We start from the raw sequence: 14,192 nt of genomic DNA on the forward strand, positions 1-14,192 counted from the left end.
AGCCTCAGAGGGTCTGCTGACAATTTTATCAAAAGTTATTAACTTGTATTTTTCTTATATTTATTTTTATAGCAACTTTATTTTCAGGGCTACTCATACTGGTTTCCTATTTATGATTATGATATCAACTTTTCTTTGAAAAATCAATTTATTTATGGAAAATGAGTTATTTAAAGAAAAGCGAGGCCGCTGGTGCAGCACAGCTATGGCACAGGTTGTGAAGGAAGGACTTGAGAATGGAGGCTAGGGAGCACTGAATTTGTTGAGACAGTGAAGGGAGAGGATGAGGGCATTTCAGGGAGAGAACAGCCTGTCCCAAGACAAGGGACAAGAGAGTGCTGACACATTCTGGGACATACAAATAGATCCCTTTGGCTGGCATTGGTGGGAGGAGGGGACAGAGCCTCTACAACAGCCAGGCTGGTTATGGCAAGTCTGAGGGCTGATTAAGGAGTTCAGATTTCATTTCAAAGCACAGACGGTCAGCTGGAGCCGATTCCATCGTCCTTGTAATAAATATTTTGTTACTATCCTGCAATGAAACTCATATAAAACAAAACCTACCTATACACAATAACATTTGATGTCGAGATAATATCCTGATTTTACTGCAGATGAATCATAAGGGAAATTATTTAGTAATAACATGGTGTGTGTGAATGTGTTAATATTCATGGTACATGAAGCTGTCAAATGCTTGCCCTTCTTTCTAAAACTGCAGTGAATCCACGGCTACAAACTCACATGCGATACAGGCATGCAGTGAAACTGGCCACTCAGAGACCCACTAGTTTGCCAGGATTTTCTTTTCTTTTCTTACCTTTTTTTTTCTTTTCTTTTTCTCTTTTTTTTTCTTTTTTTTTTTTTTTTCAGACGGAGTCTCTCTCTGTTGCCCAGGCCAGAGTGCAGTGGCAGGATCTTGGCTCACTACAACCTCTGCCTCCTGGGCTCACACGATTCTCCTGCCTCAGCCTCCTGAGTAGCTGGGATTACAGGCGTGTGCCATGATGCCTGGCTAATTTTTGTATTTTTAGTAGAGACAGGATTTCGCCATGTTGGCCAGGCTGGTCTCGAGCTCCTGACCTCAGGTGATCTGCCCGTCTCAGCCTCCTAAAGTGCTGTAATTACAGGCATAAGCCACTAAACCCAGCCTCTTTTCTTTAAAAAAAAAAACAATTTTTTTTTTGAGACACAGTCTTGCTCTGTCACCTAGGCTAGAGTGCACTGGCGCAATCTCAGCTCACTGCAACCTCTGCCTCCCAGGTTCAAGTGATTCTCCTGCCTCAGCCTCCCCTAGTAGCTGGGATTACAGGCACAAGCCACTATGCCCGGCTAATTTTTGTATTTTTTAGTAAAGATGGGGTTTCACCATCTTGGCCATGCTAGTCTTGAACTCCTGACCTCGTGATCCACCCACCTCAGCCTCCTAAAGTGCTGGGATTACAGGCGTGAGCCACAGTGCCCGGCCTAAAAAAAAACTTTTTTCCTCATTTATGTTTTAAATTTTATTTTTATTTATTTTATTTTATTTTACTTATTATTATTATTTTTTAAGACAGAGTTTTGCTCTTATTGCCCAGGCTACAGTGCAGTGGTGCAATCTTGGCTCACTGCAAACTCCACCTTCCGGTTTCAAGCAATTCTCCTGCCTCAGCATCCCAAATTGCTGAGATTACAGGCGCCCACCACCACGCCCAGCTAATTTTTTTGTATTTTTAGTGGAGACAGGGTTTTACCATGTTGGTTAGGCTGATCTCGAACTGCTGACCTCGTGATCCACCTGCCTCGGCCTCCCAAAGTGCTGGGATTACAGGCGTGAGCCACCGCTCCTGGCCCTATTTATTTATTTTTTTGATACATAATAGATGTACATATTTTCAGGGTGTATGTGATAATTTAATCTATTCATATAATGTGTAAAGATCAAACTAGGACAACTGAGATGTCCATCACCTTAAATATTTGTCTTTTCTTTATGCTAGGATGTGATTTTCTTAAATGTGACCAAGTCCTGGTCAAGTTCCAAAGAAGTCAAAGGGCAGCTGTCCGTCAACACAGACAGTAGCTGTGTTACTGAAGAATGCTGTGTATATTCAAGCCTTGCAAATAATACATTTTGTCTAAATGTAAAAAGGATTTAGAGTCTAGGCTCAGAAAAATTATCAACATGGTTTTAAAAAATAAATAATAGATTTTATTTTTAGGTTGTACTTAATCTAATGTTAAACCTGTGTACTGAATTTCATTCAACATTGATGATGATGATGATGATGATGATGATGATGATGATGATTATTATTATTATTATTATTTGAGATGGAGTTTTGCTTTTGTTGCCCAGGCTGGAGTGCAATGGCGTGATCTCGGCTCACTGCAACCTCCACCTCCCAGGTTCAAGCGATTCTCCTGCCTCAGCCTCCCGAGTAGCTGGGATTACAGGTGCGAGCCACCACACCTGGCTAATTTTTGTATTTTTAGTAGAGACAGGGTTTCACCATGTTGGCCAGGCTGGTCTCGAACTCCTGACCTCAAGTGATCCACCGGCCTCAGCCTCCCAAAGTGCTGAGATTACAGGCATAAGCTACTGGGCCCAACCTGGCTTCTTTCATTTATATGTGTGCTTAAGGATCCTGCATGTCTTTTCTTGGCATGATAATTCATTTCTTTTTTTTTTAATTTTTTAAATTTTTGAGATGGAGTTTCACTCTTGTCGCCTAGACTGGAGTCCAGTGGCATGATCTCAGCTCACTGCAACCTCTGCCTCCCAGGTTCAAGTGATTCTTCTGCCTCAGCCTACCAAGTAGCTGGGATTACAGGTGCCTGCCACCATGCCCAGCTAATTTTTGTATTTTTAGCAAAGACAGGGTTTCCCCATGTTGACCAGGCTGGTCTCGAACTCCTGGCCTCAAGTGATCTGCCTGTCTCGACCTCCCAAAGTGCTGGGATTACAGGCATAAGCCACCGCGCCCAGGCAACACATTTATTTTTATTGCTAAATAATACTCCATTGTATGAATTGCCATGGTTTGTTTATCCATTTACCTATTTCAAGACGTCTTGGTGGCTTCCATGTTTTGGTGATCACAAATAAAGATGCTATACACAATTGTGTGGAGGTTTTTGTGTGGACATAAGTTTTCAATTTATTTGGGTTAAATGCCGAGGAGCACCATTGCTAGGTCATATGGTAAGACTGTTTAGTTTGGTAAGAAACTGCCAAACTATCTTCCAAAGTGCCTGTACCATTTTTTGTTCCCAGCAACAATGAAACAATTCTTGATGCTCCACATTTTTGTGGGCACTTGGTGTTAATGTTTTAGAGTTTAGCCAGTCTAATAAGTGTGCAGCGATATCTTGTTTTATTTATTTATTTATTTGTTAATTTTTGTATTTTTTTGAGACGGAGTCTCACTCTGTCGCCCAGGCTGGAGTGCAATGGCTCAATCTCGGCTCACTGCAACCTCTGCCTCCCGGGTTCAAGTGATTCTCTGCCTCAGCCTCACCAGTAGCTGGGATTACAGGTGCACGTCACCATGCCCAGCTGATTTTGTGTATTTGCAGTAGAGATGGGGTTTCACCGTGTTGGCCAGGCTGGTCTTGAACTCCTGACCGCAGGTGATCCACCTGCCTCGGCCTCCCAAAGTGCTGGGATTACAGATGTGAGCCACCATGCCTGGCCCTTTTTTGTATATTTTGGATAACAGTCTGTTATCTGATGTGTGTGTTGAAAATATTTTATCCAGTCTGTGGCTTTTCTCTTCATTCTCTCAACAGTGTCTTTCGCAGGGCAGAAGTTTTTAATTTTAACGAAGTCCAACCTATACTACTTATTTCATGCCTTGTGCCTTTGGAGTTGTATCTAAAAAGTTATCACTATATCCAAGATGATCTAGGTTTTCTCCTATGTTATCTTCTAGGAGTTTTATATAGTTATGTACAGTTTAAGTGTTTTATATAGCTTTGTGTTTTACATGACCAATTTTAAGCTAATGTTTGTGAATGATTTAAGGTCTGTGTCTAGATTCAATTTTCCCATGTGGATGTCCAGTCGTTCCAGCACCGTTTGTTGAAAAGACTGTCTTTATTCTGTTGTATTTCCTTTGCTCCTTTGACCAAGATCATTTGACTATATTTATGTGGCTCTATTTCTGGGCTCTGAGTTCTGTTTCATTGATCTATTTGTCTATTCTTTCACTAATAGCACACTCTCTTGATAACTGTAGCTATATTAATTTTTTTTTTTTGAAATGGAGTCTCGCTCAGTTGCCCAGGCTGGAGTGCAGTGGTGCGATCTTGGCTCACTGCAACCTCCACCTCCCGGGTTCAGGCGATTATCCTGCCTCAGCCTCTTGAGTAGCTGGGACTACAGGCACATGCCATCATGCCCAGCTAATTTTTGTATTTTTAGTAGAGACCGTGTTTCACCATATTGGTCAGGCTGGTCTTGAAATCCTGACCTCGTAATCTGCCTGCCTCGGCCTCCCACAGTGCTGAGATTACAGGCATGAGCCACCGCTCCTGGCCGTTATATTAAATACTTAACTTGGGTAGTGTCAGTCCTTTGAGTTTGCTCTTTTCCTATATTGTGTTGGCTATTCTGAGTCTTTTGCCACTTCACCTAAGCTTTAGAATCAGTTTGTCAATATCCACAAAATAATTTTCTGGGATTTTGATTGGAATCATGCTTAATCTATAGATCAAGTTGGGAAGGAGAGATATCTTGACAATATGAAGCTCTCCTATCCATGAACAGGGAATATCTCTCCATTTTATTTATTTATTTATTTATTTATTTATTTATTTATTTATTTATTTAATTTTGAGACAAGGTCTCACTCGGATGTCCAGGTTGGAGTGCAACGGTGCAGTGACAGCTGACTGCAGCCTCAACCTCCCGGGCTCAGTCGATCCTCCCTCCTCAGCCTCCTGAGTAGCTGGAACCACAGGCATGTGCCACCACTGAGCTAATTTTTTAATTTTTTGTAGAGAATAAGTCTCACTATGTTTCCCAGACTCATCTCAAACTCTTGGACTCAAGTGATCCTTCTACCTTGGCCTCCCAAAGTGCTGGAATCCTAGGCATGAGCCACCGGTCCCAGGCCTCTCCATTTATTTAATTCTTCTTTGATATCTTTCATCAGAGTCTTACAGTTTTCCTCATATGGATCTTGCATATTTTGTTATATTCATTACACGTAACTATTTCCATTTCTGGGATGGTAATGTAAATTATAATGTGCTTTCATGTATGTTTATTGCAGCACTATTCACAATAACAAAGACTTGGAACCAACCCAAATGTCCATCAATGATAGACTGGATTAAGAAAATGTGGCACATATACATCATGGAATATATGCAGCCATAAAAAAGGATGAGTTCAGCTGGGCGCGGTGACTCATGCCTGTAATCCCAGCACTTTGGGAGGCCAAGGCAGGCGGATCACGAGGTCAGGATATCAAAACCATCCTGGCTAACACAGTGAAACCCGTCTCTACTAAAAATACAAAAAAATTAGCAGGGCGCGGTGGCGGGCGCCTGTAGTCCCAGCTACTCGGGAGGCTGAGGCAGGAGAATGGCATGAACCCAGGAGGCGGAGCTTGCAGTGAGCCGAGATCGTGCCACTGCACTCCAGCCTTGGGACAGAGCGAGACTCCGTCTCAAAAAAAAAAAAAAAAAAAAAAAAGGATGAGTTCATGTCCTTTGCAGGGACATGAATGCAGCTGGAAACCCTCATTTTGAGCAAACTATCACAAGGACAGAAAACCAAACACCGCGTGTTCTCACTCATAGGTGGGAATTGAACAATGAGAACACTTGGACACAGGGTGGGTAACGTCACACCCAGGGGCTTGTCGTGAGGTGGGGGGCAGGGGGAGGGATAGCATTAGGAGAAATACCTAATGCAAATGACGAGTTAATGGGCGCAGCAAACCAACATGGCACATGTATACCTATGGAACAAATCTGCACGTTGTGCACATGTACCCTAGAACTTAAAGTATAATAATAAAAAAAAAAAGAAAAGAGGAGCACCCACTAAAAATGTTTGGTTGATTTCACAAAGCAGTTTGTACCTTCTGAAATGTACAAGTTGCTAAAAAAAATTGCATTTTTTTCCTCTTTTTATAGAGTACATTCTTTTTTTTTTTTCTTTTGAGACAGAGTCTCGCTCTGTCGCCCAGGCTGGAGTGCAGTGGTGCGATCTTGGCTCACTGCAAGCTCCGCCTCCTAGGTTCACGCCATTCTCCTGCCTCAGCCTCCCTAGTAGCTGGGACTACAGGCGCCCGCCACCACGCCCTGCTAATTTTTTTGTATTTTTAGTAGAGACAGGGTTTCACCGTGTTAGCCAGGATAGTCTTGATCTCCTGACCTCGTGATCCGCCCGTCTTGGCTTCCCAAAGTGCTGGGATTACAGGCGTGAGCCACCACGCCCGGCTATGGAGTACATTCTTAATGCGGTAAAAAAATTATAATGTGCTTTAAATTTTGCTCATTCATTGCTATATATAAGAATATGGGGCGGGGCGGGGTGGCTCACGCCTGTAATCCCAGCACTTCAGGAGTCCGAGGCGGGCGGATCACCTGAGGTCGGGAGTTCGAGACCAGCCTGACCAACATGGAGAAACCCCGTCTCTACTAAAAATACAAAAAAATTAGCTGGGCGTGGTGGCGCATGCCTGTAATCTCAGCTACTCGGGAGGCTGAGGTAGGAGAATCGCTTGAATGCAGGAGGCGGAGGTTGCGGTGAGCCAAGATCGCGCCATTGCACTCCAGCCTGGGCAACAAGAGCAAAACTCTGTCTCAAAAAAAAAAAAAAAAAAAAAAAAAGATTGACTTTTGAATATTAACCTGTATCCTCCAGCCTTGGTATAATTGCTTATTATTTCCAAAGCTTTTTTGATTCTTTCAGGTTTTCTACCTAGGAAATTATGTCATTAGCAAACAAAGACAGTTTTATTTCTTCTTTCCCCATCTGTATGCCTTTTATTTCCTTTTATTAACTTATTGTGTTGGCTAAAACTTCCAGTAGGATGTTGAAAAGCAGTGGTGAGAGGGGACATTCTTGCCTTGTCCCTGATCTTACCAGAAAAGCTTCAAGTTTGTCGCTATAAAGTATATAGTTAGCTGTAGTTTTTTTGTGGATGCTCTTCATCAAGTTGCTTTCTAACCCACAAAATGTCTATTTCCCATGATTCAACCTAATAACAACGTGGGAAAACATTCATTGATTTGTAGTATTTTGTGAACATTCTTGATGGCCAAGTATTGTCGATGAACAATGCAGTAACTTGCTGAGTGGGCGGGTCACGAGGTGAGGAGATCAAGACAATCCTGGCCAACATGGTGATACCCCGTCTCTACTAAAAATACAAAAGTTAGCCAGGCGTGGCAGCACATACGTGCCTGTAATCCCAGCTACTCAGGAAGCTGAGGCAGGAGAATTGCTTGAACCTGGGAGGGGGAGGTTGCAGTGAGCAGAGATTGCACCACTGCACTCCAGCCTGGCTACAGAGCTAGACTCTGTCTCAAAAAATAATAATAATAATAATAGAAATAAAAACCAAACAAGCAAAAACAAGACAAAATAAAAACCAACCCTCTTTGCCACTGCTGGAAGCGGTTGGCTGCATCACACCAACTCTTAACTCTGAACATTGGTAATTTAAGAGGAAACTATTCAGCATGTATGGGAAGTAATTAGGGTTGAAATATCATGATACTTGGTTTTTACTTTATATATTATATGTACTTTATATGTAATTATGTATTATTATGTTTTTTCATATAGATGGAAAAATGTTGCAAAATATCAACAATTGCCACCTAGGTTGTGGGTTTACGAGTGTTCATTGTGCTATTCTATCTTTCTGTGGATTCAAAGCTTTCTATGAAAAAAAGTTTAAAAAGTAAGAATTTCTCTTACTTTTCCTATTTAACCATTCGTCAGAAAGTGTTTTTTTTTTGTTTTTTGTTTTTGTTTTTTTTTTGAAACTTAGTCTCGCTCTGTCTCCCAGGCTGGAGTGCAACGGCGCGATCTGGGCTCACTGCAAGCTCCGCCTCCCGGGTTGACGCCATTCTCCTGCCTCAGCCTCCCGAGAAGCTGGGACTACAGGCGCCCGCCACCACCAGGCGCCCGGCTAATATTCTGTATTTTGTTTAGTAGAGACGGGGTTTCACCGTGTTAGCCAGGATGGTCTCAATTTCCTGACCTCGTGATCCACCTGCCTTGGCCTCCCAAAGTGCTGGAAAGAAAGATGTTTTTATATGTTCCCTAGCATTTTTTTTGAGATGGAGTTTTGCTCTTGTTGCCCAGGCTGGAGTGCAATGCTGTGATCTCAGCTCACCACAACCTCCACCTCCTGGGTTCAAGCGATTCTCCTGCCTCAGTCTCCCAGGTAGCTGGAGTTACAGGCATGCGCCACCACGCCCAGCTAATTTTGTATTTTTAGTAGAGACGGGGTTTCTCCATGTTGGTCAGGCTGGTCTCAAACTCCCGACCTCAGGTGATCTGCCCACCTCGGCCTCCCAAAGTACTGGGATTACAGGCGTGAGCCACCGTGCCTGGCCTTCTCCGGCATTTTAGTTGCACTATACCGGGAGCAGTTTCTCTGAATCATATTGCCTGACTCCTTAAACTTGTTTTTGTTTAATAACGTTGTTCATTGTATAGCTAAACCATAATGTTTTAAAGTAGTCCCCTATTGGCTGGGTGTAGTGGCTCACGCCTGTAATTCCAGTACTTTGGGAGGCCAAGATGGGAGGATCTCTTGAGACCAGGAGTTCGAGACCAGTCTGGTCAACATAGTGTGACCTCATCTCTTAAAAAAAAGAAAAAATGGCCGGGCGCGGTGGCTCATGCCTGTAATCCCAGCACTTTGGGAGGTCGAGGCGGGCGGATCACGAGGTCAGGAGATCGAGACCATCCTGGCTAACATGGTGAAATCCCGTCTCTACTAAAAATACAAAAAAAATTAGCAGGGCGTGGTGACTGGGGCCTGTAGTCCCAGCTACTTGGGCGGCTGAGGCAGGAGAATGGCGGGAACCCAGGAGGCGGAGCTTGCAGTGAGCCGAGATCACGCCACTGCACTCCAGCCTGGGTGACAGAGCGAGACTACGTCTTAAAAAAAGAAAAGAAAAAAAAAAGAAAAGAAAAGAAAAAAGAAAAAAGGCTGAGAGGCTGAGGCAGGAGAATCGCTTGAACCCGGGAGGTGGAGACTGCAGTGACTCGAGATTGCGCCACTGCACTCCAGCCTGGGCAACAAGAGCGAGACTCCATCTCAAAAAAAAAAAAAAAAAAGTAGTCCCCTATCGATGGACATTTACGTTAGATTGTTTCCAATCTAGAAAAAAGTACAAAAAGAAAAAAAAGCATAAAATAAACAAGAAACAAAAACAAACACAAAAATAAAATAGATGATTTCCATTCATCTGTTATTATAAATAATGGTGCAATGAATAACATTTGGGAGTTTATCTGTAGGTGAAATTCCTAGAAGTGGAAATGCTTTCGAGGATATATACAGCTAAATTTTTTTTACACCTGTAATTTTAATAGATGCTGCTAAATTGCTCTCCACAGAGATTGCACCAGTTCACAGTTCCACCAGCTATATATGTTGGTGCCTGTTATCCAGCCAGCAGGATGTTGTTAAATGTTTTGTTCTTTTTTTTTTTTTTTTTGAGACAGAGTTTTGCTCTTGTTGCCCAGGCTGGAGTGCAATGGCGCGATCTTGGCTCACTACAACCTCTGCCTCCCGGGTTCAAGCAACTCTGCCTCCCGGGTTCAAGCAACTCTGCCTCAGCCTCCTGAATAGCTGGAATTACAGGCATGCGCCACCACGCCTGGCTAATTTTTTTTTTTTTGTATTTTTCGTAGAGACGGGGTTTCTCAATGTTGGTCAGGCTGGTCTTGAACTCCCAACCTCAGGTAATCCGCCCACCTCAGCCTCTCAAAGTGCTGAGATTATAGGTGTCAGCCACTGCACCTAGCACTTTTTTTTTTTTTTTTTTTTTTTTTTGAGACAGAGTTTCATTCTTGTTGCCCAGGCTGGAATGCAATGGGCGATCTTGGCTCACTGAAACTTCTGCCTCCTGGGTTCAAGCGATTCTCCTGCCTCAGCCTCTCGAGTAGCTGGGATTACAGCAGCGCGCCACCACGCCTGGCTAATTTTTTGTAGTTTTGGTAGAGATGGGGTTTCACCAAGTTGGTGAGGCTGGTCTCGAACTCCTGACCTCAGGCGATCTGCCCTCCTCGGCCTCCCAAAGTACTGGGATTATAGGCGTGAGCCACCGTGCCCAGCCTAAATGTTTTGTTCTTAACCAAACTGTAGGTGGAAACTGGTATCAGTATAGTTTCAATTGGCATTAACCTTTTGCTGTGGGTTAGCAACTTTTAATAGTTAAATCATATAAAGTTGTCAGTTTTATAAGTCAAAAGTCAATATTGGCAACTTTATATATGGTTCAAGCTAATCTATTTAAAAGCCTCTTTTTCTGAGAACTGTTTCTGTTATTTGTCCATTTTTCTACTGGGTTGTTGCTCTTTTTGTTGCTTCTTAATAGTGAATGGCAAGAGGTCTTTTTTTTTTTTTTTTTTTTTTGAGACGGAGTCCCGCTCTGTCGCCCAGGCTGGAGAGCGCAGTGGCGCAATCTCTGCTCACTGCAAGCTCCGCCTCCCGGGTTCATGCCATTCTCCTGCCTCAGCCTCCCAAGTAGCTGGGACTACAGGCGCCTGCCACCACGCCCAGCTAATTTTTTGTATTTTTAGTAAAGACGGGGTTTCACAGAGTTAGCCAGGATGGCATCGATCTCCTGACCTCATGATCCACCCACCTTGGCCTCCCAAAGTGCTGGGATTACAGGCATGAGCCACCGCACCCGGCCGGCAAGAGGTGGCCTCCCAAAGTACTGGGATTACAGGCGTGAGCCAACCGCACCCGGCCGGCAAGAGGTCTTTATTTTGGGAAAATTAAACGTTTGTGTGTCATACGAGTTGTGAATTTTTTCTTAGTTTGTCACTTGACTTTGCTGATGGTGGTTTTTCTCTGCGGATTCTTTTTGTTTTTGTTTTTGTTTTGAGATGGGGTCTCACTTTGTCACCCAGGCTGGAGTGCAGTGGCATGATCTCGGCTCACTGCAACCTCCACCTCCCAGGCTCAAGCCATCTTCCCACCTCAGCCTCCTGAGTAGCTGGGACTACAGATGCACGCCACCATGCCCGGCTAATTTTTTGTATTTTTGGTAGAGACAGGGTTTCACCATGTTGCCTGGGCTGTTCTCAAACTCCTGAGCTCAAGCAATCCGCCCGCCTTGGCCTCTCAAAGTGCTGGGATTACAGGCATAAGCCACTGCACCTGGCCTATGCAGATATTCTTGATGTCGACTTTGGTCACCTGGTTAAGTCACGTTTGCCAAGTTTATCTAGTATAAAGTTACTATTTGTCAGCCGGGCACGGTGGCTCACGCCTGTAATCCTAGCTTGGGAGGGAGACAGAGGCGGGCGGATCATGAGGTCAAGAGATCGAGACCATTCTGGCCAACACGGTGAAACCCCCGTCTCTACTAAAAATACAAAACTTAGCTAGGCATGGTGGCACACCCCTGTAGTCCCAGCTACTTGGGAGGCTGAGCCAGGAGAATCGCTTGAAACTGGGAGCCAGAGAGCTGAGATCATGCCACTGCACTCCATCCTGGGAGACAGAGCAAGACTCCGTCTCAAAAAAAAAAAAGTTATTATTTGTCCTTTCCATACCCTATTCTTTGGAGGCTAGTTGCTAAGTCCAGCCTACAGTTACAGGAGGATGGTACTAAGCTCTACCTCTTGGATTAAGGAGTATCTCTATATATTACATATTATTTGAAATTCTTCTGTAAGGATGATTTGTCTCTTCTCCCCTATTTGCTTATTTATTCAATTATTTTATATCAGTATGATCAGTATAGACTCATGTGGATATATTTCATACTTTGACTTATAATTCAATACCATGCTATTTACTTTGTTGCTCAAATTGTTCCAGCATTGGCTGCTGGAATTTCTTTCAAGTTGGCTTCCATGGCCCTGTGACATGTGACAGGCTTTTTTTTTTTTTTTTTTGAGACAGAGTCTTGCTCTGTCGCCCAAGCTGGAGTGCAGTGGCACGATCTCGGCTCACTGCAAGCTCCGCCTCCCGGGTTCACACCATTCTCCTGCCTCGGCCTCCTGAGTAGCTGGGACTACTGGCGCCTGCCACAACGCCCGGCTAATTTTTTTTTCGTATTTTCAGTAGAGGCGAGGTTTCACCGTGTTAGCCAGGATGGTCTCGATCTCCTGACATGGCGATCTGCCCGCCTTGGCCTCCCAAAGTGCTGGGATTACAGGCATGAGCCACCGCGCCTGGCCTTTTTTTTTTTTTTTTTTTTTTTTAATAATCAGAATCTCATTCTGTTGCCAGGCTGGAGTGCAGGGGTGTGATTATACCTCATGGCAGCCTTGAACTCTTGGGCTCAAGCAATCCTCCCACCTCAGCCTCCTGAGAAACTGGGACTATAGGTATGTATCACCATGTCCAGCTAATGTAATTTTTTTTTTTTTTTTTTGAGATGGAGTCCCTCTCTGTTGCCCAGGCTGGAGTGCAGTGGCGCCATCTGGGCTCACTGCAACCTCCGCCTCCCAGGTTCAAGCTATTCTTCTGCCTCAGCCTCCCGAGTAACTGGGATTACAGGCAAGAGCCACCATGCCTGGCTAATTTTTGTATTTTTAGTAGAGATGGGGTTTCACCATGTTGGCCAGGCTGGTCACCAACTCCTGACCTCAGGTGATCCACCTGCCTTGGCCTCCCAAAGTGCTGGGATTACAGTCGTGAGCCACCGCTCCTGGCCAAGACCATGTTTCTTAAAAAACAAACAAACAACAACAACAAAACAAATATCTATATCTATATCTATATATCTATATATATAGATATAGATATATATACACACACACACATAAGCAGAGGGACAGGAACCAAGAACATCACACGATTTCACATCCTAGGGTCCTCCAGAGCTCAGATTATAGATGGATGGCCGGGAGGGGGTGTCTACCACTCTAATTTGTTAATCACCAGAGAATCGCTTGAACCCGGGAGACGGAGGTTGCACTGAGCTAAGATTGCGCCATTACACTCCAGCTTGGGCAACAGAGCGAGACTACATCTCAAAGAAAAACAAAAACAGCTTGGCTAAAAAGACCAGCTCGGCCTTGCCAGGAGTGTCCACAAGGGGGCAGTCGAACATTTGCTTACGAGTTCCCCAAGGGCGAAAGATCGGTTTTTAACCTCATTCAGGAACGGAAGATGGAATCTCGGGCTTTGACGGTCGATAAATTAGAAATAAGATCCTTGCACAAAGCCAGAACCCTTGAAGGGCTGCAATCACTTTGTAAGGAAGACCAGTAAACTTCCCACTGGCCAGGGAGGCAACCGGGAAGCTCATCTCAGCTGTTGCCTTGGCTGGGAATAAAACAAGGTTTCCTAATCTCCAGGCGGGCAAGGAGCCTAAATCAGTCTATTCCGTGGGAAATTCAAGCTGATACATTATCATAAAAATTAATCCCAGGCTGTTTCTATATCATGGTCTGAGTTTTTGTCCTCCTATTCCAATAAATGTGTTGAAACATAATCATCAATGTGATACTATGGAGGGGGGTGATTAGATCATGAAGGTAGATTCCTTATAAATGGAATGGCGTCTGTATAAAAGAGGCTTCAGGGAGTTCCCTCACGCCTTCCATCATGTGAGAACACGTGAGAATGTGCAATCTGTGAACCAGGAAACAGGTCTTCACCAGATAAAGAACCTGAGAGTGACTTGATCTTAGACTTCCCAGCCTCCAGAACTTTGGGAAATAAATTTCTGTTGTTTACAAGCCACTCAGTCTATGGTATTTTGTTGCAGCAGCTCTAACAGACTAAAACAGCAGAAGCAACTACAAGAACACTTTGGTGGAACACAGCCCTTCTCAACATGCTCACAGCCATATGAAGAAACAACTTCCCATGAGCAAGAATGAGCAGACAGCCATCAAAAGCATTACCTCCTTTAGGGGCTAACTCATGTTTCTGGGTAGAAGCTTTATAATAAGTCTCAACAGGCTGGGCGCAGTGGCTCAGGCCTGTAATCCCAGCACTTTGGGAGGCCGAGGTGGGAGGATCACTTCAGCTTGG

The 14,192-nt window shown here is 44.1% G+C and overlaps 3 annotated features.

The window, feature by feature from the left end:
- Window positions 9,451-9,951: an enhancer, noted in NCBI's record as "H3K4me1 hESC enhancer chr11:66150024-66150524 (GRCh37/hg19 assembly coordinates)". NCBI's record gives its function as "activates a minimal SCP1, AML or CMV promoter by ChIP-STARR-seq in primed H9 embryonic stem cells {active_cell/tissue: H9 hESC(primed)}" and the evidence as "EXISTENCE:reporter gene assay evidence [ECO:0000049][PMID:30033119]".
- Window positions 9,952-10,452: an enhancer, noted in NCBI's record as "H3K4me1 hESC enhancer chr11:66150525-66151025 (GRCh37/hg19 assembly coordinates)". NCBI's record gives its function as "activates a minimal SCP1, AML or CMV promoter by ChIP-STARR-seq in primed H9 embryonic stem cells {active_cell/tissue: H9 hESC(primed)}" and the evidence as "EXISTENCE:reporter gene assay evidence [ECO:0000049][PMID:30033119]".
- Window positions 13,076-13,370: an enhancer, noted in NCBI's record as "tiled region #15247; K562 Activating DNase unmatched - State 4:PromP, and HepG2 Activating non-DNase unmatched - State 4:PromP". NCBI's record gives its function as "activates a minimal TATA promoter and a strong SV40 promoter by Sharpr-MPRA in K562 cells, with weaker activation in HepG2 cells {active_cell/tissue: HepG2 | K562}" and the evidence as "EXISTENCE:reporter gene assay evidence [ECO:0000049][PMID:27701403]".

Source organism: Homo sapiens, chromosome 11 (genome assembly GCF_000001405.40).
Source record: "Homo sapiens chromosome 11, GRCh38.p14 Primary Assembly".
NCBI lineage: Eukaryota > Metazoa > Chordata > Mammalia > Primates > Hominidae > Homo > Homo sapiens.